Source organism: Homo sapiens, chromosome 17, assembly GCF_000001405.40.
Source record: "Homo sapiens chromosome 17, GRCh38.p14 Primary Assembly".
Classification (NCBI taxonomy): Eukaryota; Metazoa; Chordata; class Mammalia; order Primates; family Hominidae; genus Homo; species Homo sapiens.
This window is the reverse complement of record NC_000017.11, coordinates 44,298,303-44,318,711: the sequence shown is the minus strand read 5'-3', so window position 1 is coordinate 44,318,711 and position 20,409 is coordinate 44,298,303. Positions and strand designations below refer to the sequence as shown.

The window sequence follows — 20,409 nt, the reverse complement described above, 5'->3', positions numbered from 1 at the left end:
GGACGGGGCCCTTCCCCAGCCCCCCACATACAAGGCTGCCCTCAGTCCTCTGGTTTTTATTTGAGCTCTCTTGCCCTGGGGGCTGAGGAAGGAGTGACTCCAGGCCATACACAGACAGATGGAGAGGCTAGAGACTGGGAGGTGGGGGTGTGGAAGCTGGGCCACCAGTTCCTGAGGGGGCAGGGGAGATGAGTGAAGGAGCGCCAAGGTCACCAGAAGAATGGAGCAGGCTTCCCCAGGGGCTCCCTGTGGCTTGGGCACCCCTGCCTCCTGGCCCAGCGTGCTTTCTTCCGCAGCCCGTGCTGCCAAGGCAGAAAGCTAAGGTGAGCAGACGAGATCTTCCCCGAGAGAACCCTGGCTGGGTGGGTAGCGTTCTCTGGAAGGGTAGCCTGGATTGGGGGACTCTTGTTGAAGAAAGGTGGCAGGTGTCCATGGCCCCTGGCAGGTGGGGCTGGCACTGCCCATGCTGTTCCTCAGCTGGGGCTCAGTGCTGGGCTGCCCTCGGGACTGTCGCTCACCAGGCACTCGTTGGATTTGAAGCTCGCCAGGGACTTGCAGCTGGGAATGGAGGCCAGGGAGCCGCAGAGGCCCAGCATGGAGGGCGTGGGGTCCTTCCCTGGGGAGAGAGGGCAGGTGAGGCCAAGCGACCAGTCTACATGTGTGGGAGTTGGTAGAGGGGTGGGCAGTGAAGGGGCAGCCCTCAAGTCACCCCCCAGGAGACCTTGGCATATTCCACAGCATTTGCCATTTTCAGTTAAACTTTGGTTAAGCACCTGCCTGTGCCAGGCACCGTGCTGGGGACACTGTATTGTAATCGTCAGTTGATGTCTCTGTCTCCCCGTGAGGGTCATCCTCTCTCTTTGTCCATTTATTAAATACACAGTGAGCACTCGCTCTGTTCCAAGCACTGGGGATACAGAGAACGGACAAGACACGGTCCCTGCCCTCATGGAGCTCACAGTCTGGTGGGGGAGACAGACACACAGACAATCACAAACACAGTGTGATGGGGCTACATGGCCACAGCCTGCCTTGTCTCAAAGAAGATCTAGGGTCATCCAATACAGTGTGGTTGCTTATAAAAAAGAAAAGACAGGATATTCAGGCATAGGGAGAACTAGGATGGGAAAAACCAAGGTGAAGCCAGGGATGAGGTCAACACAAAGTGCATGCGTTGAAGTCCTGGGCATTCGCTCGAAGGGAGCCACTAATTTGGCTCTGAGCTTCCTGGCAGCCAAAGAGAAGGGGGAAACAATGGTCAGGCAAGTAGTTCACAGTGTGCATGAGATAAGAGCAAATTAGTCTAAGGAGTTCCCCGAGAGTTTGTGAGCCCCCGAGGATGTCATGACACTAAAAAACCACTGAGCCCTCACCATGTGACAACATTGGTGATTATCAACATCCCCATTTACAAAGAATAGACTCATGGAGGTAAAGTGATTGACCAAGCTCACATGGTCAGAGGAGGCACAGCCAGATTTATGCTGGGTTCTGCATATGCTGTGTTCTGCCACCTCAAAGTAAGCTCTCGATTGCTGTGCTAAACCCTCAAGAAAGGCTGAGAGAGGCCGGGCACAGTGGCTCACACCTGTAATCCCAGCACTTTGGGAGGCCAAGGTGGGTGAATCACTTGAGGTCAGGAGTTCGAGACCAGCCTGGCGAAACTCCGTCTCTACTAAAAATACACAAATTAGCCGCGCGTCTCTACTAAAAATACACAAATTAGCTGCGCGTGGTGGCAGGCGCTTTTAATCCCAGCTACTCGGGAGGCTGAGGCAAGGGAATCCCTTGAACCCGGGAGGCAGAGGTTGCAATGAGCTGAGATTGCGCCACTGCACTCCAACTTGGATGACAGAGTGAGACTCCGTCTCAAAAAAAAAAAAAAAAAAAAGACTAAGAGAATGAATGAGGACATGCCTTGAGGCCTCAGGGCCTTGCCTCAGCCCTTTCTGGAGGGGTACTGGGTGTTGGGTTGGGGGAGCTCACCGATGGGACCCCAGGGCTCCTCGTCCCGCGTGCCCTCTCCCAGGCGCTGGGAGTCCGAGCTCAGACTGGCTTCAGCTGACAGCGGCTCCGTGCTCATGAAGCTGTGTCTGCGGCAGAGCGAGAGCTGGTGCGCCGGTAGAGGAAGCCCTTCTTCCCCAGGACGACCCGCTCTCAGGCCCAAGCCCCACCTGGCTGGGGCTTACCTCCGGTAGAGCTTGGAGTTGCTGGCGCCCTCGGCCCCATTAAGCGTTCCCAGTGAGGGCCATTGATTGACCAGGGGTGTAGTGAGCTCCTTGGAACCCTGGGCCAGAGGGGCGTGGTCACTGGGGATCAGACCTGTCCTGGGAGGGGGAGGAGGAGTCAGGCCTGGCTGGAAGTAGGAGAAGTGAGGAAGGGAGATTCAGCAAGGGGATGAGGGAGGGGTCAGGAATGAAATCTGAGCGGCAAAAATGGGGATACGGTGTTGGGGTCAGTGGGCCAGATCCCGGGAGGAAGTGGAGGTGGTACTGGGGTGGAGGGGTGACAGGGATTCGTGCACAAATATTGGGAGTTGGAGGGAATGGTGCAGTGTTGTTGGGGTCAGCTGGGGTGATGGGGACGTCAGTGGAGGATAGTGTGGGAATCCCTGAAGTGTAAGATCGTCTTGGGGATCTTGCCGCAAGATCAGGGTGGTGGAAAGGCGTAGAGAAGAAGTGTTACAGGGATCGGCAGGGGTGAGGTCGGGGGTCACGGCGGATGATGACGGTCAGTGAGCCTGTGGTGCAGGTGAGTGAGGCGATGAATGCAATCGTGTTGAAGGTTGCAGAGCAACACCGCAGGTCCTTGTGAGTGACGTGGGGTCCCTGCAGTAAGGTTGGATGGCCACTCTAGCGGAAGATAACTGAAGGTGAAGGGTGGGCTCTGGCTGTTGGAAGTCACTGGATCTTATGCTGGGGGCAATGTTAGAAGATCATTGTGGGCATCTCGGGGTGGGGCTGGCTGGATCAGAGGGTTGATGCTGGAGAGGTGGGTGCTCGTGTCGGGTGATGTTAGAGTCGATGGAAGTGAAGATGGGGTTCACCCGGTGATGTGGTCGGGGCGGCGGGGGTCAGGGGTTAGGGCAGGCCGTGCGCTCACAGCTGCTCCTGCAGCTCCAGGATCACGCCTTCCAGCTCCCGTTTCTCGCGCTGGTTCTGCGCCGCCGCCTCCTCCAGCTGCAGCTGAAGCCGCCGGTTCTCCGCCTCCAGGTCCTTCAGCTGCGACTCGCGCAGACGCACCAGCTCCTCCAGGTAGCCCTGCGGGGCGCCGGCTCAGCCCGGGCGGCTGGGAGGACGTCCCGGCCGCGGCCCCCATCCCCGCCCCGCCCCGGGATGCCCGGATCCCCCGCCCGGCCCGCCCGCCCCCCGGGCCCGCCGGCGTCGCGCACCTTCTGCGCGTAGACGATGCGGAACTTCTGCTCCATCTTGTGCCACTTGCTGTACCAGCTGTCCTCATCGGTGACGAGCGGGAGGTACGGGTGCTCGGGCGAGTTGTCCTCGCTCGTGCTGCTCTCGGCGCTGTGCCGCTCCTCCTCGTCCGTCAGGTAGTCGTAGCTTGGGAGAGGGAGCAGTGGGCACGGCCGGTCCCGCCCCTCCCCCCGCGCGTCTGCGCTGGCCGCTGAGGGCGGTGGGACCAGGACGTCCCCAGGATGTCCCGAGGCCCCGTCCCCCGCCCCGCCGCAGTCATGGAGCCGCTCACCTCTGCGTGAACTTTAGGTAGGGCGTGTAATCGATGACCACGGGGGTCTTCCCGTCCAGGACTTCCCCCTTTAGACAGAAGCTGAGGCAGAGGAGCCACAGGGTTGGAGGTGGGTGTGAGGGGTTGGGGTAGGACATTTATGGGGGAAACAGCCCCCTCCACCACTGCCGTCAGGCAGACCCCACCTGAAGTCGATGGCGCTCAGTCCGATCAGCATTCCGGTGAGGATGGTGGCTTCATCCCGCAGCATGATGGCTCCAGAGTCATAGAACCGTCTGTGGGGAGGCAGAGGGCCAGAGGATGCAGCAGGCCCCTGGAGCGCCCCCCCCCCCCCCAGAGCTGCTATTGTTGGCTTACTGCCACCCCATCCTGAAGGAAGGCCAATTCTCCTTCCTGATCTGCACGCAGGCCTGGAGCCTCTCTCCCCCTTCAGCCTGGGGCTCGCACCTGTGGCCCCATCACCTAGAATGGGTGTTCCCTGAGCCGACTCCTCCCTCTGAGCTACCCCTTCCTCATCAAGTACTGGGTTACCCAGATCCTTCATATCAGGAAGCAAGTCTTAATCATTAGTGCTTGGTATACAGTAGGTGCGCAAAAAACGTGTTAACTTGAAACGTGTAGACTGAGGAATGGAATTCAGTAAAAACATCAGGCTGGGTATGGCCAATTGGGATGGGGAGGTATATGCCCCCCGCCACACCCAGACAGCTTCAGATGCACCTGCCCACACAGGCACACTCCTCCTTGTAACCCCTTGCCTCAGGCACCCAACCTCCCTGTGAACCCACAGTGCAGGGATTGAACTCCCCATATAAGGACTCTGTGTCCGTGAATAGCAAGTACAGAACTGCTTTCGTTGTTTGGAGAGACAGAAGGGCTGTGTTGTAGATCATGGAGCAAGCCAACACTTGAGATGGTGCATGGCTGAGGCTCATCCAGAGGTGTGCAAGGGTGGAGCGTGCTGGGCATTGATGGCAAATAATGGGCATTAGATTTGACTTGCAAGTGGTGGTGGTGGTGGTGGTAAAAGTTTGTCCTGGGGCCAGGAGCGGTGGCTCATGCCTGTAATCCCAGCACTTTGGGAGGCCAAGGCGGGAGGATCACCTGAGGTTGGGAGTTTGAGACCAGCCTGACCAACATGGAGAAACTAAAAATACAAAATTAGCTGGGCATGGTGGCGTATGCCTGTAATCCCAGCTACTCAGGAGGCTGAGGCAGGAGAATCGCTTGAACCCAGGAGGCGGAGGTTGCAGTGAGCCGAGATCGCGCCATCGCACTCCAGCCTGGGCAACAAGAGCGAAACTCCTTCTCAAAAAAAAAAAAAAAAAAAAGAGTTCGTCCTGGGACTGCAGGCCAGGCTGGAAGAGGGAAATCAGCCATGTGTGCTGGTGCTGGGACTTGTAGTCCAGGAACTGAAGGATGCTGCAGGAACTTAAGGATCAGCTGTGTTTGGGCAATGCAGGTGCACTCTGAGACCTGTGGTCTGAGTTGCCTGGGAAGTCTGACCTGGTGGTCCGGGTGTCACGCAGAGCCGTGGTGATGTATTCTGACATGCGCTTCTCCATCAGTGCCACCCGGATCCATGCCCGGCCCTGGAAATCATGTTCACCTTTACTTGCTGCCCCAGAGGGACTCATGTGTCCAGCATCAGGTGTGGGCCCTTCTCCCCTGGGCTGTGCACAGGGGGCAAAAACCAAGAAACAGGCAGGCCCCCTGTGTCCAGAGCAGAGAGCAGTTGCTTGCTTCAGGCCCCTCACCTTGGCCCGGGCTGTGCTGATGTTCTCCATGTTCTCGATGCTGCTCACACAGTTGTTGGGCACTTTGCTGCAGGCCAGCCGGATATAGTCCCAAAAGCCCCGCTGCCCGTCTGAGCTGAACCAGCTCACTGGACCTGCTGGGGCACAGGCTGAGCCAGGGCAGGGAGGGGGCTCAGCAAGACCAGGGAGTTTGGAGAGGGTCCATGTAGTGAGGCACTCACATGCATAAGCATAAGCAGCCTCCTCCCACAAAGATCTGTGCACACACATGCACGTGTGCAGTGGGCACCCCAGCATATCGCTTGCCCATGATGGGGATTGTAGGCCAAAGGCCTCTCCCTCTTCCCAGATCTGTACACAAGCTTCTGTGCATGGCCCAGAATGGGGGCCAGGGTCAATGAGGGGGTTCAGAGTCCATGGAGTATATCAGAAAGAGGTGGCTGGGAGCTAAAGGTTGGGAGTTGGGGAGGGACCGCTGGGGGAGGGGCGCTGGGGGAGGGACCACTGGGGGAGGGGCGCTGGGGGAGGGACCGCTGGGGGAGGGGCGCTGGGCCCACCTTTGAAGCGGTGGCTGAGGATCTGCTCTAAAATGGCTGCAAAATTGACAAACTCCTCCGATGAGTCATCGATGGGCTCCGCTGTGTACTTCTCCAGCAGCGTTTTCACAGAGAACCTGGGCGGCGAGGTGGGGAGATGGGGCAGTGGGGTGTCAGGTGAGGAAACAGGTGATGGAGGGAGAGACAGGGAGCAACCGGCAGAGAAGAAAGGTCAGGAAGGGCATGGATGTGGTGGGGGGCAGAGCGAGTGGGGAGACAGGCAAGACTACAGTGACCATAGAGGTACCGTGTCATGTGGAGTGAGAGGGTGGCAGATGGGGAGGAAGGGTGACAGGTGGGAGACTGATTGACAAAGTGGGTGACAGGAGAGGTGACAGCCAGAGAAAGGAAGCTTCGGGAGCAAGGGGTGAGAGGGACTGAAAAAATAGGAAGATGAGGCACAAGCCGGGGGCGGTCCAGGAGCCCCTTCCCCATAGACCACCCTTCAGGGTCTGTGTGTGCGAGGCCTGGGTCAACTAGGTGTTAGAAGCCAGTGTGTGCCCCACCTGAGCTGTCTTCTGTGATTGCTGGAGCAACCTTCAGTCCCTTTTGGGGATGGGGGTCACCTGTACCAGGGCATGTGAGTTGGCACTGTGCACATGGAGTGTGGGCATGCGCAGGTGGCCAGGTGGGCTCCCAGTACACAGATACCCCCTTCCCCCCTTTCCTTCCCGGCTTGGCCTCCCACACACCAGCTGCCCAGAACCAGGCAGTGCAGAGCTGGGCGGGGGTGGGGTGGGGAGGTGCGGGGTATGGGCCTGACACAGACACTGGGCAGGAGGGGGCATTGGCAGCAGATCCCTGGAAGGGGCTTGGGGGCCTGGCTTCTTTGGGAGGAAGGGACTAAGGGAAGCCTGTGGGGCTGAAGGACTGAAGCCATGCAGTGCCCCCTCTCCAGTCCTGTCTAAGCCTCAGGCTCCCTCTGCAGTCACTACCCCTGCAATCTCCCCCTGCCATCCCTGCAATGGAGTAGGGCAGGGATGAGGACACAGTTCCTAACATCCCATGATTTCCCTGCTGTGGGTGGCAGAGCAGGGGCGGGGTGTCCAGGGAAATGGGAGCTGCTTGGAAATGTCCTTTTCTTCTTATATTTATCAAGCCCTATAATGTGGCAAGCACAGTACTTTGCATGCATTCCCTTACCCATGCTCAGCCCTGAAAGGTAGGTCCTCTTAGTATTACTCTCATCCCCATTTTACAGGTAAAGAAATTGATGGTCCAAGAGGTTGACTGATCTGTTCGGAGTCACATGGCTTATGAGTAGTCAAGCAGGTATGTCTGATTCTGATTCTGAAGCTTCTGCTCTTTCTGCTACATCTGTGGCCTCCTGGCAGCTGTTGTGATGACCAAGGCCTGGAGCAGCCCCTGCTCCACCGCCCTTTGTCCTCTACTCTGCAAGTCTCCAGCCTTGGACCACTGACCTCTGAGGCTCTCAGGCCAATTGCACAGCTGAGCCCTCGTCCCCCTTCCTTTTGAACTTGGAGTTGAACTGCCTTGAGATCAGAGCCAGGTCAGTCTTGGGGTTGCACTAGAGGGAGGCAGCCTGCTGGATTCAAATCCTGTTTCCCTGTGGCACTCACGTGGCCTTGGGCCCCTCTGTGAGTCCCTTCTTGTCAAATGCAAATGGGAACAATCGTACCTGCCTCATTACATTTTGGTTGAGAGCCCAGGCAGGGTTGGGAGAAGGTAGGTGCCTAGGGCCGCTGGGCAGGGATGGTGAGGAGCGGGGTCGTGGCTGGGAAGGCTGGCCCTGCTGAGAGCCAGCCTGTGTTTGGGGCATTATTCCAGCTTCACTATGCGCACCCTCCTGCCAGCTTGATTTCCCCTGGTCATCTGGGTCAGACCATGATGGGGCCTGGACTGGGTTCAGCATGGCAGCCATATGGTATCTGTCCTCAGGGGTGCCGCAGAGGTGGTCATTGCCCCCGGGAGCCCTGTGGTGTGCTCCCTGATAGGAGATGCAGTGGCTGCTGCAGGTTACCATGGAGACAGGGAGGCCAGGGCCCAGGGGAGCCCATGGCCTGCTAAAGGGAGCTGTTCTGGGAGCTGGAGGCAAACCATGTGACAGTGATGAGGCAGTAGGGGCCTGGGGGTTACTGAGCCTTTGTTATGTCCCTGACCCCCCAAAACTCTATCCTTCCCTCCCAGCTCTAAACCACCTTCAGCCCTTCAACTTCTCCTTCTCTGGCCTATGTCAAGGAGAGTTCCCTCATTCCCCCCATGTACTCAAGAGGCTCAGCTACCTTGGCAGGCAAGAGAAAAAGAGGAACCTAGCAGGTAGACAGCAGAGAGGGACAGGAAGAGCGTCATTAGGACAGGGCTCTTTCTGTGTGCCAGACACTGAGCTAGGCTCCTACATGGATGGTGCCATTTTCATTCTTTGGTGTGGCTGTGACATCTAAAATGGGGATGATGGGGCACCCAAGGCCCAGAGTGGTTAAGAGACCTCCCCAAGGTGGCGCAGCTAAAGCTGATGGAGTAAGAGCTTGAACCTAGGACCTTCTGGCCCCAAGGACAGAAATCTTTGTTTTATAACACACTGGCAGGGGTTGGGGGAAATGAGGGTAAAGGCAGTGCCCTGCACTGTGGGCTGGGCCATTGCTACACTCTCTCCTTCCTTAAAGTTCCAGGCATTTCTGCAGAGGTCTGATGTGCACAGCACTGTGCTGGGCACTAGTGCTGGGAGACAGATGCAGTGTGGTGGAGTGCGTGCCCAGGAACCGGGAAGGAGCTATGGGAGCCAGGAGCCAGGGCATCAGGTGGGCACTAGTGGGCCTCAGGGCATCAGGTGGGCTTCAGCAGAGCTGAGGCCTATGTGGCAGGCAGGTGGGGCTGGCGAGGGAAGAGTGAGCCCTGCCCCCAGGAGCACCCTGCACTGAGGGGGCAACACCTGATAGGCATGGGGGCCAGGGGAGGTTGCAGCTGACAGGGGATCCCAGCACCAGAGGAGAGTGCAGGTGTGGGCTGCAGGGGGAGTGGCTGAGCAGCTGGCCATGCCCTGGTTTTGGGACAGGGCAGGGCAGGGAGGGTGAGTCACTGCAGGTTGAAGTGAACAGGATCACTTCCTGGGCCCCGCAATCACGGAGAATCTTCCCAACCCTGCAACCGTTCCACCCTCAGAGACCAGTGGCCCTGTCCTCCCGATCTTCTCCCCTTGAACCTGGAACCCAGGCTCTTGGTCCTTCCCACGTCTTGGGTGGTGCCCCTCACCCTTCCCTGGAAGGATTCATGGGCTCTGACCCCATGCCCAATTGACCCTGCCCATCCCTGCTCCAGAATCTGAGCATTGGAGAACCCCACCCCAGAGAGGTCAGTTTGACATGGGTGTCAATGAGGGTATGCTTGGAGGGCATTCATCCCCCCACGGGGTCCCCTCTGTCCATCCTGCCCCATTCCCAGCAAGGGAGCCAGCCATCCCCACCCCCTTCCCCCTCACACAGTGTCACTTCCTGGTTCTCACAGGAAGCTACAGTACCAATTAAACACCCCTCACCCCCCAGGCCCAGGCCCGGGCATAGGCTTGGCTTGGCCTAGAAGGGTAGGGACCAGACTGCAGCCTCCCTCTGGGTTCTGGGCCTGGGAGGGACAGTGGACGCATTATTCTCGACCCTTTTCTCCCCTCCCTTTTCTCCGCGGCAGCGCTCAGTCCGGGTTTCCGCAGTCCACCCCAACCCCTCTCCCTCACCACCCCAGCCCCCGCCCACTAGCGGTGCCCACCTGCACACGGTGATCAGGTTCTTACGCTCCACAGCCACGTTGCGAGAGGACGCTTTCTTGGAGGACAGCCCCAGAGCCATGGTGGTCTGGACAAAGCTCGCTTCCATCCAGATGTGCGGCCACTGCTGCCGCCGCCCGCTGCCCCCCCACCCCTCCCGGAGCCCCAAACCCGTCGCTGGATCACGGCTGGGCCCTCTGTCCGACGGGGCCCCTCAACCCTTCCATGGCCATCCCCCTGCCTTTGCGCCCGGTGCCCGGCCCCCTCGCTCCCTCCCCCGGCGGCGATGCCAGAGCAAAACAAGGCCGGGGAGGGAGCTCTCCGAGGTGCTGAGCCGGGGCCCCGTCACCCCCTCCTCCAGCCGCCCGCCCCCCTCGGCCAGTGACGTCAGGGCCCTCGGGCCCCGCCCCCCAGCAGGCCGAGGACCAATCCGCAGAGGGTGCAGGGTCTGAGGGGAGGGGCAGAGCCCGGGCCCCACGGAGGGCGGAGGGGGTACCCGGGAGAAGCAGAGATTGGAAGGAGGAGCAGGGGGCCTGCCCTCCACCCCCACACTCTGGGCCCGAGACTCCTCGCTCCTCCTCGCCTCGCCTCGCCTCGAGTCTCTGGCTCCGACCTCTCTACTCCCTTGTTTCTGACCTGTGCTCCGTGGTGTCTCTGATCTCCCCCTGCCGCCAGGGGAAAGGAGGTCTTCACCTCCGGGACCCCCACCCCCCACCCCCGTCCCCTCCCTGCCCCCTATCCGTTCAGCCTCGGCTTTCTCGGCGAGAAAGCGCAGATGGCTCCCGGCTGCTAACCCAGGAGGCTAAGGAGCAGCCCTAGAGACTGCGCATCTGCATGTCTGTGCCTGGGCTGGACCCGCCTGCACCAGCCAGGCCGAGCCAACCTCTCCTGGGGTGGAGGATGGGAATCCAGACGAAGCCTAAGGGCTCAGCGCCTGGAACCACTTGGGACAGAGAGTGGGGAGCAGACTGGCAACGAAGGGCCTTGGGCTCTGCGGAGGTTCCCAGCAGCAGAGCAGGCGCCTACAATGGTGCCAAGGCAACCGGAGGGGGTGGCGGCCCACCCCCTCGCACCACCCCAGAGCCAGCTGGCCTAAGGTTAACCCCTTGGCTGCCGGCATTGCCGCGTTGTGCCATCAACCCTCTCTGAATGGGGTCATTGATCTCGGGCAAGGCCAGGAGTGTCCTGTAAAACTGGTTGCAGCTTCTCCCCGGGGGTGGGGGGAAATGAAGGCATAGTCTGGTTTCCCACCGCCCTTGGCCTCCTATTCCTCTCACGTCCCTGCTCCCACCTGCTCCGTTCCTCTATTCAACCTGTTCCAGGATTTTCGGGGCGGGGTGGGGGGAGGGTTCCCCTTCACCTGCTGGAATCCGCAACTCCTACATAAAGCCTTTCTGTGTTTATTAAAGGGCCTCTACCCAATTTCTCCATCTGCCCTTAGGAACATCCCTCCCAGGACTCACTCACACCTATTCTCCAACTCTGCCTACCTGCTCAATTCACCTGATGCTCTGCCAGTGGATTGCTGATGTCTCTACATTGATTCAGATTTGCACCCACATCTGAAAATGGTCAGCAGGCAGGGACCCTCTGTCACCACAGGTGGAGGAAGAGGAGATGAAAGAGCCTTGTCTGACACCCTGGAGACTGGTGAGAGATCCTGACTCCTAGCATGGGATCTTACATTTACGCAGCCTCAGCCTCAATTCTTGGCTTCTGGGACCTCAACCTTGGTCTTTTTATTTTTTACTTTTTTTTTTCAATTATTTTTTGTGTGTCATCCTTGCACAGTGGCCATGCTAATCTTCTCTGTATCTTTCCAATTTTTTAGCATATTAACACATTCCGATGTTAGTATAACCTTGGTCTTTTCAGTCCCTCCTCCATCATCTTGCTCTTGCCTCACGTGTAGAAGTCCCTCTTACCATTCTCCTGCCTCCAGTTTGCCAGGGGCAGTCATGATGGGTTTTTTTGCTCTTTCTCCAAATGAGGGCACATGATGTTCTTTTGGGGTTTATTTTGTTGTTGTTGTTGTTGTTGTTGTTGTTTTTGAGACAGAGTCTCACTCTGTCGTCCAGGCCAGAGTGATCTCGGCTCACTACAACCTCCACCTGTCGGGTTCAAGTGATTCTCCTGCCTCAGCCTCCCAAGTAGCTGGGATTACAGGCATGCACCACCACGCCTGGTTAATTTTTGTATTTTTACTAAAGACAGGGTTTCACCATGTCAGTCAGGCTGGTCTCAAACTCCCGACCTCAGGTGATCCACCTGCCTTGGCCTCCCAAAGTGCTGGGATTACAGGCGTGAGCCACCACGCCCGGCCTATCTTAACCATTCTTAAGTGTACAATGGAGTAGTACTAAGTACATTCATAGTTTTTTGCAGTCATCACCACCGTCCAACTTCTTAACTCTTCATCTTGAAAAACTGAAACTATCCATTAAACAATAATTCCCCATTCCCCACTCCCCTCACCCCTGGCAACTACTAGTCTACTTTCTGGTTCTATGATTTTGACTACTCTAAGTACTTCATATAAGTGGAATCATATAGTGCTTATTTTTTATGTGACTGGCTTATTTTGCTTAGCCTAAAGTCCTTAAAGTTCATCTATGTTGCTGGCCACAGTGGCTCACGCCTGTAATCCCAGCACTTTGGGAGGCTGAGGTGGGCGGATCACCCGAGGTCAGGAGTTCAAGACCAGCCTGGCCAAAGTGGTGAAACCCCGTCTCTACTAACAATACAAAAATTCGCCAGGCATGGTGGCACACGCTTGTAATCCCAGCTACTCAGGAGGCTGAGGCGGGAGAATCGCTTGAACCCAGGAGGCGGAGGTTGCAGTGAAGTGAGATTGTGCCATTGCACTGAAGCCTGGGCAAGAGTGAAACTCTGTCTCAAAAAAAAAAAAAAAATAGAAAGAAAAGAAAAAAGCTCATCCATATTGTAACACATTGCAGAATTTCTCTCCTTTTAAAGGCAGACTAATATTCTTTTGTAGGAATATGCAACATTTTGCTTATTGCTATGGCTTGAATGTGTCCCCCGAAGTTCATGTGTTGGAAACTTTTTTTCTTTTTTTTGGTGGGGGGGGACAAAGTCTTGCTCTGTTGCCCAGGCTGGAGTGCAGTGGCATGATCTTGGCTCACTGCAGCCTCTGCCTCCCAGGTTGAAGTGATTCTTGTGCCTCAGCATCACGAGTAGCTGGGATTAGAGGTGCACACCACCATGCATGGCTAAATTTTGTATTTTTAGTAGAGATGGAGTTTTGCTATGTTGGCCAGGCTGGTCTTGAACTCCTGGCCTCAAGCAGTCCACCTGCCTTGGCCTCCCAAAATGCTGCGATTACAGGCGTAAGTCTTCATGCCCAGCCTTCTTTCTTACTTTTTGAGACAAGATCTCACTCTCTTGCCCACGCTAGAGAGCAGTGGTGCAATCATAGCTCACTGCACCTTCAACCTCCTAGGCTCAAGTGATCCTCCCACCTCAACCTCCTAAGCAGCTGGAACTACAGGCACTTGCTACCATGTCTGGCTAATTTTTATTTTTATTAGTTTATTATTTATTAATTTATTTTGTAGAGATGAAGTCTCACTATGTTGCCCAGGCTGGCCTTGAATTCCTGGGCACAAGTGATCCTTCCTCCTCAGCCTCCCAAAGTGTTGGGATTACAGATATGAGCTACCACACGTGGCCATGTATAAGAAACTTAGTCCCCAATTCACTGGTGTTGAAAGGTGGGACCTTCAAGAAATGATTAGATCACAAGAGCTCTGCCCTCATGAATGGATTAATGCTGTTGTTTTGATAGTGGGTTCCTGATAAGAGGTTGAGGATCAGGCCCCTTTCTCTCTCCCTCATGCTCTCTTGCCTTTCCACCTACCACCATTGGATGATGCAGCAAGAAGGCCCTTGCCAGATGTGGGCCCCTCCATCTTGGACTTCCCAGCTAGCCTCCAGAACTGTAAGAGACAAATCTCTGTTCTTCATAAATTACCCAGTCTCACATATTCTGTTAGAGCAGCACAAAGCAACTAAGACACTTATCCATTCATCCATCCATGGACACTTGTATTGTTTACACATGTTACCAATTATGAGTAATGCTGCTATGCACATGGGTGTACAAATATCTCTTTGAGACCTTGTTTTCAATTCTTTGGGGTATATACCCAGAAGTGGAATTGCTGGATTACATGGCAATTTTGTTTTTAATTTTTTGAGAAGCTGCCATCCTGTTTTCCATATGGCTGCACCCTTTTACATTCCTGCCAACAGTGCACAAGGGTCCAATTTCTCTTTTTTTTTTTTTTTTTTTGAGACGGAGTCTCGCTGTCTCCCAGGCTGCAGTGCAGTGGCGCGATCTCAGCTCACTGCAAGCTCCGCCTCCCGGGTTCACACCATTCTCCTGCCTCAGCCTCCTGAGTAGCTGGGACTAGAGGCACCCGCCACCATGCCTGGCTATTTTCTTGTATTTTTAGTAGAGACAGGGTTTCACTGTGTTAGCCAGGATGGTCTCGATCTCCTGACCTCGTGATCTGCCCAGCTCGACCTCCCAAAGTGCTGGGATTACAGGCGTGAGCCACCACGCCCGGCCACAAGGGTGTAATTTCTCTACATCCTTGCCAACACTTGTTATTTCCTGTTTGCTTGTTTGATGGTAACCATCCCAACAAGTGTGAACAAGTGTGAGGTGGTATCTCATTGTAGTTTTCTTTTCTTTTTTCTTTTTTTCAGGGAAACTACCCAGACTGTGTCCTCTCCCTCTTACTCTCCTAAAGGAAGACAAGGAAGACAATGACAAATGGCGTTTGCAGCAAAGCAACACCAACAGCCAACTTGATGCTCAAGAGAGAACGCTATGCCTCTTCCTCATGGTTTCCAGTGCTCTACACATTCTGAGAAACTTTTCTGGTAATAAACTATAGAAACAATGAGACTGTGCCCATGGGAGAGACCCCATCTCTACAAAAAATACAAAAATTAGCCAGGCGTAGTGGTGTGCACCTGGATTCCCCAGCTACTTGGAAGGCTGAGATGGGAAGATCACTTGAGCCCCGGAGGTTGAGACTGCAGTGCGCCATGATCACGCCACTGTACTTCAGCCTCAGTGACAAAGCGAAAGCCTGTTTCAAAAAAAAAAAAAAGACAGAGAGAAACGGGCTGGGGACGGTGGTTCACACCTGTAATCCCCGCACTTTGGAAGGCCGAGGCAGGTGGATCACTTGAGATCAGGAGTTCGAGACCAGCCTGGCCAACATGGTGAAACCCCGTCTCTACTAAAAATACAAAAATGAGCAAGGCATGGTGGTGGATGCCTATAATCCCAGCTACTCAGAAGGCCGAGGTGGGAGAATCACTTGAATCCCAGGAGACAGAGGTTGCAGTGAGCCGAGATCGCGCCACTGCACTCCAGTTTGGGCAACAGAATGAGGCTCCATCTCAAGAAACAGAAAAAGGGAAATGATCCCTGAAAGTACACTCTTTTGTTGTAGTTTTTATTTGCATTTTGCTAACGATTAGTGATGTTGAGCACCTTTTCATGTGTTTACTGGCTATTTGTTTTCTTTTTTTTTTTTTTTTTTTGGAGCGATACCTATTCAAGTCCTTTGTTCATTTTTGGGTTGCTTGGTTTTTGTTGTTGGTGTTGAGTTTTTTAGGAGCTGCCTCTATATCCTGGATATCAATTCCTTATCAGATATATAACTTGCAAATATTTTCTCCCATTCTGCCAATTACCTTTTGAATTTGTTGATATTGGTTTTTTGATGCACAAAGTTCTTAAGTTTTCATCAAAGCTAATTTGTCTATTTTGTTGTTATTGTTGCCCCCATCTTTGGTGTCAGATCCAAAAAAATTATTGCCAAATCCAGTGTTGGGAAGCTTTTGCCATATGTTTTCTTCTAAGAGTTTTAAAAGTTTAGGTCTTACATTTAGGTATTTGATCCATTTTGAGTTAATTTTTGTCGATAGTGTTAGGTAAGAGTCCAACTTTATTCTCTTACATGTGGATATCCGTTTTTTCCAGCACTATTTGTTTAAAAAACAAAAATCAAACAAACAAAAACCTGTCCTTTCCCCATTAAATGGTCTTGGCATTCTTGTCAAAAATCAGGCTGGAGTGCAGTGGCATGATCTCGGCTCATTGCAACCTCCACCTTCCAGATTCTCTTGCCTCAGCCTCCCAAGTAGCTGAGATTACAGGTGTGCACCACCACGCCCGGCTAACTTTTTTATTTTTAACAGAGACGGGGTTTCACCATGTTGGCCAGGCTGGTCTCGAACTCCTGACCTCAGGTGATCCACCCGCCTCAGCCTCCCAATGTGCTGGGATTACAGGCATGAGCCACCGCACCTGGTCTGATCAAGTTTAAGACTGCATTGCACCACAGCACTGCAGCCTAGACAACAGAGCAAGACCCTATGTCAAAAAAAAAAAAAATCATTTGATCATAGGCCAGGTGTGATGGTACATACTTATAATCCGAGCTACTCAGGAGGGTGAGGTGGGAAGATCACTTGAGCCCAGGAATTCGAGTCCATCCTGGGTAACATAGCAAGACCATATCTCTAAAAAAATTAGATAAATAAAAAAAATAAGAAATCACTTGCAGACCAGGCACAGTGGTTCACGCCTGTAATCCAGCACTTTGAGAGGCCTAAGTGGGCGGATCACTTGAACTCAGGAGTTCGAGACCAGCCTGGGCAACGTGGTGAAACCCCATCTCTACCCAAAATACAAAAAAATTAGGCAGGCATGGTGGCTTACACCTGTGGTCCCAGCTACTCAGGAAGCTGAGGTGGGAGGATCGCTTGAGTCCAGGAGGCAGAGATTGGAGTGAGCTGAAATTGTATCACTTCACTCCAGCCTGGGTGACAGAGCGAGACCCCGTCTCAAAAAAAAAAAGAAAAGAAATCACTTGCTCATGTGTGTAAGAGTTTACATGAGGGCCTCTGTTCTATTTCATTGGTCTATACGTCTGTCTCTATGCCAATACCACTCTATTTTGATGAATGTAGCTTTGCAGTGAGTTTTAAAATCAGGAAGTATAAGTCCTCCAGCTTTATTCCTTGTTCATATTTCAACTTTTGTGATAATCATTTCCTTGCTTTTCTTTATATTTTTATCACCCATGTGTGCACCGCCTACAAGCAGAACCTAACAGGACAGTAATGGAGGCTAGGGAACTGGTTTGCAGAGTCCCAGCCCCCTTCCAACATCAGAGAGCAGAGAAAATAAGAATGAATTTGAAGCTGAAAGTCAATAAGCAAATAACTGGCATTATCTACCCCTTTTTTCTATGCAGTAGTTACACATCTATCCATCATATTTGAATAATAACAGCTTCATCCCTTTGCCTAATAGATGCAACTGTCCTTTGCTCAAATGAAGATGCTCTGGGGCCCTCCCCCAAAAGCAGAGACGCAAAGTCTCTACAGCAATGGGATCCCTTTCCGTGTGATGTGAATTCTCCTAGTTCAGCCACATGTCCTCTAGAGTATTCTGCAACCTAAATTATGAAGGTCATCACCAACAACAATCCTCATAAAAAATAAGAGAAAAGAAGGAGAGGAAAGTTAACCAATATTTAAAGAGTGTATATAACAAAACAAGCAAGAGAAAACATGCCCATGGCTTCTACAATCCTTGCTTCTATATCTGGTCAGAAGCTGATATTATAACTTTCCTCTTCCATTACCCTTGAAGGGTTCAAGGGATTCTCGTGCCTCAGCCTCCAGAGTAGCTGGGAATACGGGTGCCCACCAACCACCACACCTGGCTAATTTTTGTATTTTTTTTAGTAGAGACAGGGTTTCACCATTTTGGCCAGACTGGTCTCGAACTCCTGACCTCAAGTGATCCCCACCCACCTTGCCTCCCAAAGTGCTGGGATTACAGGCGTGAGCCACCGTGCCTGGCCCCAAATCTGTATTCTTTATTTTTATTATTGTTATTATTATTATTGTTGTTTTTTTTTTTGAGACGGAGTCTCGCTCTGTCACCCAGGCTGGAGTGCAGTGGCGCGATCTCAGCTCAATGCAACCTCCGTCTCCCGGGTTCAAGCAATTCTCCTGCCTCAGCCTCCTGAGTAGCTGGATTTACAGGCGCCCACGACCATGCCCGGCTAATTTTTGTATTTTTAGTAGAGAGAAGGTTGCACCATATTGGCCAGGCTGGTCTCTTGGCCAGGCTGGTCTCAAACCCCTGACCTGGTGATCCGCCCATCTTGGCCTCCCAAAATGCTGGGATTACAGGCATGAGCCACCACGCCCGGCCCCCAAACCTTTATTCTTAAAATAAAGGTTTCAAGAATAAACCTTTATTCTTGAAATTAGCATTCTACAAATTGGAATCCTCAGAACTGTATTGCTCTTTTTTTTTTAACTTTTACTATTGGACACGGAAATAGGACATGGCACACCAGGGAGTCCCCTGGGTTCCAGACATAGTCCTCCCTGCCTTTCTTTTGGAGTTAGAACCCAGCTTACCCTTGGCATTTGGGATCAGTCATCCCAGAAGGTAACCCCTTTTTTGCCCTGAGCTCAGGTGAGAGCCTTATCTTCCAGGTAGTGGAACCATTGCAGTATCTCCTCGTGAAAGGATTCCTCCCTTAGTGTGGCAGATGCTGGCAGTGCCCTCCCATGTTCCTGAAGCTCTTGGGTTCACTGGATGAACTTCCAGCTGCCAGAACCTGCAGCTCTTTATCTAAGGACTCTCTCTGGCCACTGGAGCCTGCTGAGCAGGCTGAAAGTTCTGGGGAATTATACTCCCAGCCACAGCAACCTTCAGCCAATCACCGATGGGGATCGGTGCGTAAATAGCCAGCTTCCTCATCCCTCAGGTCCTGCAGCAAACATTATGACTGGCTCCCTGAGTTCCTTCTTAGGATTAAGCTCTGGTTGTCCACGTGTTTTGTTTGTTTGTTTGTTTGTTTTGTTGTTGTTGTTTTGTTTGTTTTTGAGACAGAGTCTCACTCTTGTTGCCCAGGCTGGAGTGCAATGGTGCAATCTTGGCTCACTGCAACCTCCGCCTCCTGGGTTCAAGCAATTCCCCTGCCTCAGCCTCCCAAGTAGCTGGGATTATAGCCATGTGCCACCACGCTCGGCTAATTTTGTATTTTTAGTAGAAACGGGGTTTCTCTATGTCGGTTAGGCTGGTCTCGAACTCCCGACCTCAGGTGATCCACCTGCCTTGGCCTCCCAAAGTGCTGGGATTACAGGTGTGAGCCACCGCACCCGGCCGGTTGTCCATGTTTTTAACTTGCTTGATAACACACCCTTTATGAGCCTCCTTTCTTTCCAATGTCAGTCTCCCACTGGCTTGCTTGGTATTCCTAGCATCGCTTTTCAAATAAACACTTGTGTTTCTCAAATAAATACTTTCCTTTGAATCCTTGACTCAGGTTCTACTTCTGGAGGGAACCCAAACCAACACATTTGATATCCAAAGTTGTCCTAGGAAGTAGACCCCCAGGATAAGATTCTGGTTTTGGATCACTCATCATCCAGATGGCCCAAAGATTCCATTGCTGAGGTAAGTGGGGTACTAATACCCACTGGAGAACTGGACTGATCGTCAGACTGTCACCCTGGTGAAATGGGATGCAGACAGGGATGCACTGCCTATGCAATAGCTCTAGTATTTGAGGTGTAAGAGGAAAATGGTAATTATAAGGACTGTGGAGACTGGGCTCAGTGGTTCATGCCTGTAATCCCAGCAGTTTGGGAGGCCAAGGCGGGTGAATGACTTGAGGTCAGGAGTTCGTGACCAGCCTGGCCAACATGGCAAACCCTGTCTCTACTAAAAATACAAAAATTAGCTGGGTGTGGTGGCAGGCACCTGTAATCTCAGCTACTAGGGAAGCTGAGGCACGAGAATCACTTGAAGCCACAAGGCAGAGGCTGCAGTGAGCTGAGATTGCGCCACTGCACTCCTGCCTGGATGACAGAGTCTCACTCTGTCATCAAAAAAAAAAAAAAAAGGAGTTGTTTGGTTGCTGTTAATGCCATCAAAGGGTTAAAAGAATAAAAGACAGACTCACATCAGCCAGCTATCAATTTATGATATAGTTAAAAGCTAGAAGAAGCCGGGCTCACACCTGTAATCCCAGCACTTTGGGAGGATCACTTGAGCCCAGGAGTTCGAGACAAGCCCCAGCAACATAGGAATACCCTGTCTCTACAAAAAATAAATTATCTGGGTATGGTGGTGAGCACCTGTGTTCCCAGCTATTCAGAAGGCTGAGGTGGGAGGATCACTTGAGCCCAGGAGGTTGAGGCTGCAGTGAGCCATGATTGTGCCATTGCATTCCAGCCTGGGCGACAGAGCAAGACCCTATCTTAAAACAAAACAAAAACCAGAAGACCTCTATGGCAGCATGTAAGGAAACCCTCACCTCCTGTGCAGGGCAGACTGTGATGAAAATCAGTCCTATAATCTGATTGCAAGAGTAGCAGGGTTTTATATTTAAAGCCCCAGCAGGTCAGGGCCCTGGGAGGGAAGGAGTGGGATCCTGAGGCCTGGTATGGGAACATCTGTTCTAAAACCCCCTTATTATGCTGAGTTATTTGGGCTGGCAGAATTGGCCTCTCCCCCTGGGTGGAAGAGAGCAGCCTCCCCTTGCCTAGATAACATGCAGAT

At 53.2% G+C, this 20,409-nt stretch overlaps 1 protein-coding gene, 1 long non-coding RNA gene and 2 pseudogenes across 12 annotated transcripts, besides 1 other annotated feature; 1 reads left to right on the top strand and 3 right to left on the bottom strand.

Annotated features, from left to right (window-relative positions):
- Positions 1 to 41: 41 nt before the first annotated feature.
- RUNDC3A (RUN domain containing 3A) lies at positions 42 to 10,111 on the bottom strand. Of its 11 annotated transcripts, none has more exons than XM_017024035.2 (12): positions 9,773 to 10,111; positions 6,017 to 6,132; positions 5,460 to 5,608; positions 5,209 to 5,294; positions 3,888 to 3,977; positions 3,703 to 3,783; positions 3,392 to 3,557; positions 3,103 to 3,260; positions 2,190 to 2,327; positions 1,987 to 2,093; positions 1,589 to 1,672; positions 42 to 616 (listed from the first exon to the last, which is right to left on the bottom strand). In XM_017024035.2, the coding sequence occupies exons 1-12, from the start codon at positions 9,877 to 9,879 to the stop codon at positions 474 to 476; spliced, it is 1,425 nt and encodes a 474-aa protein (XP_016879524.1). In that variant the 5' UTR covers positions 9,880 to 10,111; the 3' UTR covers positions 42 to 473. The 11 variants fall into 11 exon arrangements, with proteins under 11 accessions (XP_016879524.1, XP_016879525.1, XP_016879526.1 ...); XM_017024036.3 differs by having other exon boundaries at positions 5,460 to 5,596; XM_017024037.2 differs by having other exon boundaries at positions 5,460 to 5,593.
- Positions 10,053 to 10,312: a silencer, noted in NCBI's record as "silent region_8587". NCBI's record gives its function as "represses an Ori minimal core promoter by ATAC-STARR-seq in GM12878 lymphoblastoid cells {active_cell/tissue: GM12878}" and the evidence as "EXISTENCE:reporter gene assay evidence [ECO:0000049][PMID:35858748]".
- Positions 10,281 to 19,138, top strand: RUNDC3A-AS1 (RUNDC3A antisense RNA 1). Its single transcript, NR_110802.1, has 4 exons — positions 10,281 to 10,455; positions 11,212 to 11,420; positions 13,669 to 13,731; positions 14,505 to 19,138. It is a non-coding gene; the product is annotated as an RUNDC3A antisense RNA 1 (long non-coding RNA).
- RNU6-453P (RNA, U6 small nuclear 453, pseudogene) lies at positions 11,540 to 11,624 on the bottom strand (annotated as a pseudogene).
- On the bottom strand, positions 14,509 to 14,714 carry LOC124904153 (uncharacterized; annotated as a pseudogene).
- Positions 19,139 to 20,409: the final 1,271 nt, after the last annotated feature.

Bases quoted from the DNA above. Each gene is read 5' to 3' on its own strand.
- RUNDC3A (XM_017024035.2), bottom strand. From the start codon at position 9,879: ATGGAAGCGAGCTTTGTCCAGACCACCATGGCTCTGGGGCTGTCCTCC. The intron at 6,133-9,772 runs GTGGGCACCGCT...CTCGCCGCCCAG, and splicing joins AACCTGATCACCGTGTGCAG to GTTCTCTGTGAAAACGCTGC. The intron at 617-1,588 runs GTGTGAGCCACT...CTCTCTCCCCAG, and splicing joins CCAAAGTGCTGGGATTACAG to GGAAGGACCCCACGCCCTCC.